This window comes from Homo sapiens, chromosome 11 (assembly GCF_000001405.40).
Source record: "Homo sapiens chromosome 11, GRCh38.p14 Primary Assembly".
NCBI lineage: Eukaryota > Metazoa > Chordata > Mammalia > Primates > Hominidae > Homo > Homo sapiens.
Window position 1 is genome coordinate 45,691,252 of NC_000011.10, and position 1,268 is coordinate 45,692,519.

The 1,268-nt window shown below is 41.9% G+C and overlaps 1 non-coding gene across 1 annotated transcript; it reads right to left on the minus strand.

The window, feature by feature from the left end:
* Positions 1-452: 452 nt before the first annotated feature.
* On the minus strand, positions 453-525 carry MIR7154 (microRNA 7154). Its single transcript, NR_106976.1, has one exon. It is a non-coding gene; the product is annotated as a microRNA 7154 (primary transcript).
* Between the last annotated feature and the right edge of the window lie 743 nt (positions 526-1,268).

The window sequence follows — 1,268 nt, forward strand, 5'->3', positions numbered from 1 at the left end:
TAAAAATCAGATTGACTTTTGCCATTCAGGTCCATTACCCCCTCCCTTTCCTATAGCTGCCAGCTGTTCAAACCCTCTAAACCCTAACCTCTTTAGGCAAACCAAATCTTGCCTAGATGGCTGCAGGGTCCTCTGAGACACCTAAACCCTGCGAACCTTGACCAACCCTACCCCACCCTGCCACCTAATTGAAAGAGCCTCAGGAGCTCCACTGCCTTCAGAACCTAATTTCTCAGGACAAAGACGTGCCCTTGAGGATGTGGCCTCTCCTCACCTTGTTGGGTGCACAGATACCAGCCTCCAAATATTCGCAATTCTCTTTTTGATCCCTCTCTCTCTCTCTCTCTCTCTCTCTCTCTCTCTCTATTGTCCTAACCCATGTTCCAGGTAAGAAAAAATTCTTCTCTATCCTAATGAGGGTGTTGCAGACACTCCACCTGTGACCCAGCCCCATCCCACAACTTGTCCTCCTATCTCCTCAGCTTGCTTCCCTACCAAGGCTCCAAGCTAGACCCAGTTCATGAAGGCAGAGAGGGTAGGTATCAGGCCGAAGTTGGTGGGTTCTTGCTCAAGGTTGGTATTTCAGAACTAAAATCTGCAAGTACATTTTTCCTTTTCTTTTTCTTCTTCAGACCCCTGATCAGGAGGTGAGATTCCTTACACTTGGCCATACAACAGGATGAAATCCTGCCATTTATGGTAACATAGATGATCCTGGAGGTCATTATGCTAAGTGATATAAGCAAGGCACAGAAAGACAAATACCACATGATCTCATTCCTATGTGGAATCTAAAAAACTTGACTTCATAGAAATGGGGAGTAGAATGATGGTTACCAGAGTAACCCTTAGGGGAAGTGGGAGAGAGGTATACGAAGAGAGATTGATCAACAAAGTATAAAGTTACAGTTAGGAAAAATAAGTTCTGGTGTTCTATTACACAGTATGGTGACTATAGCTAACAATAATGCATTGTATATTTCACGATAACTAGAAGAGAGGATTTTGAATATTCTCATCACAAATAAATTATAAATATTTACAGTGATGGATATGCTAATTACCCAATTTGATCATTATACTATGTATACATGCATTGAAACATCACACTGTACCCTATAAGTATGTACAATTATTATATGTCAATCATAAATAAAACTTTTTAAAAAGAAGAAGTTAAGATTCCTAGAGGAAACTTCACCTCACCCTTTCTACCCCTACCCAAGCCAGTAGCCAGAGCACCTCACAACCAAGTTCCCAAAACCCAT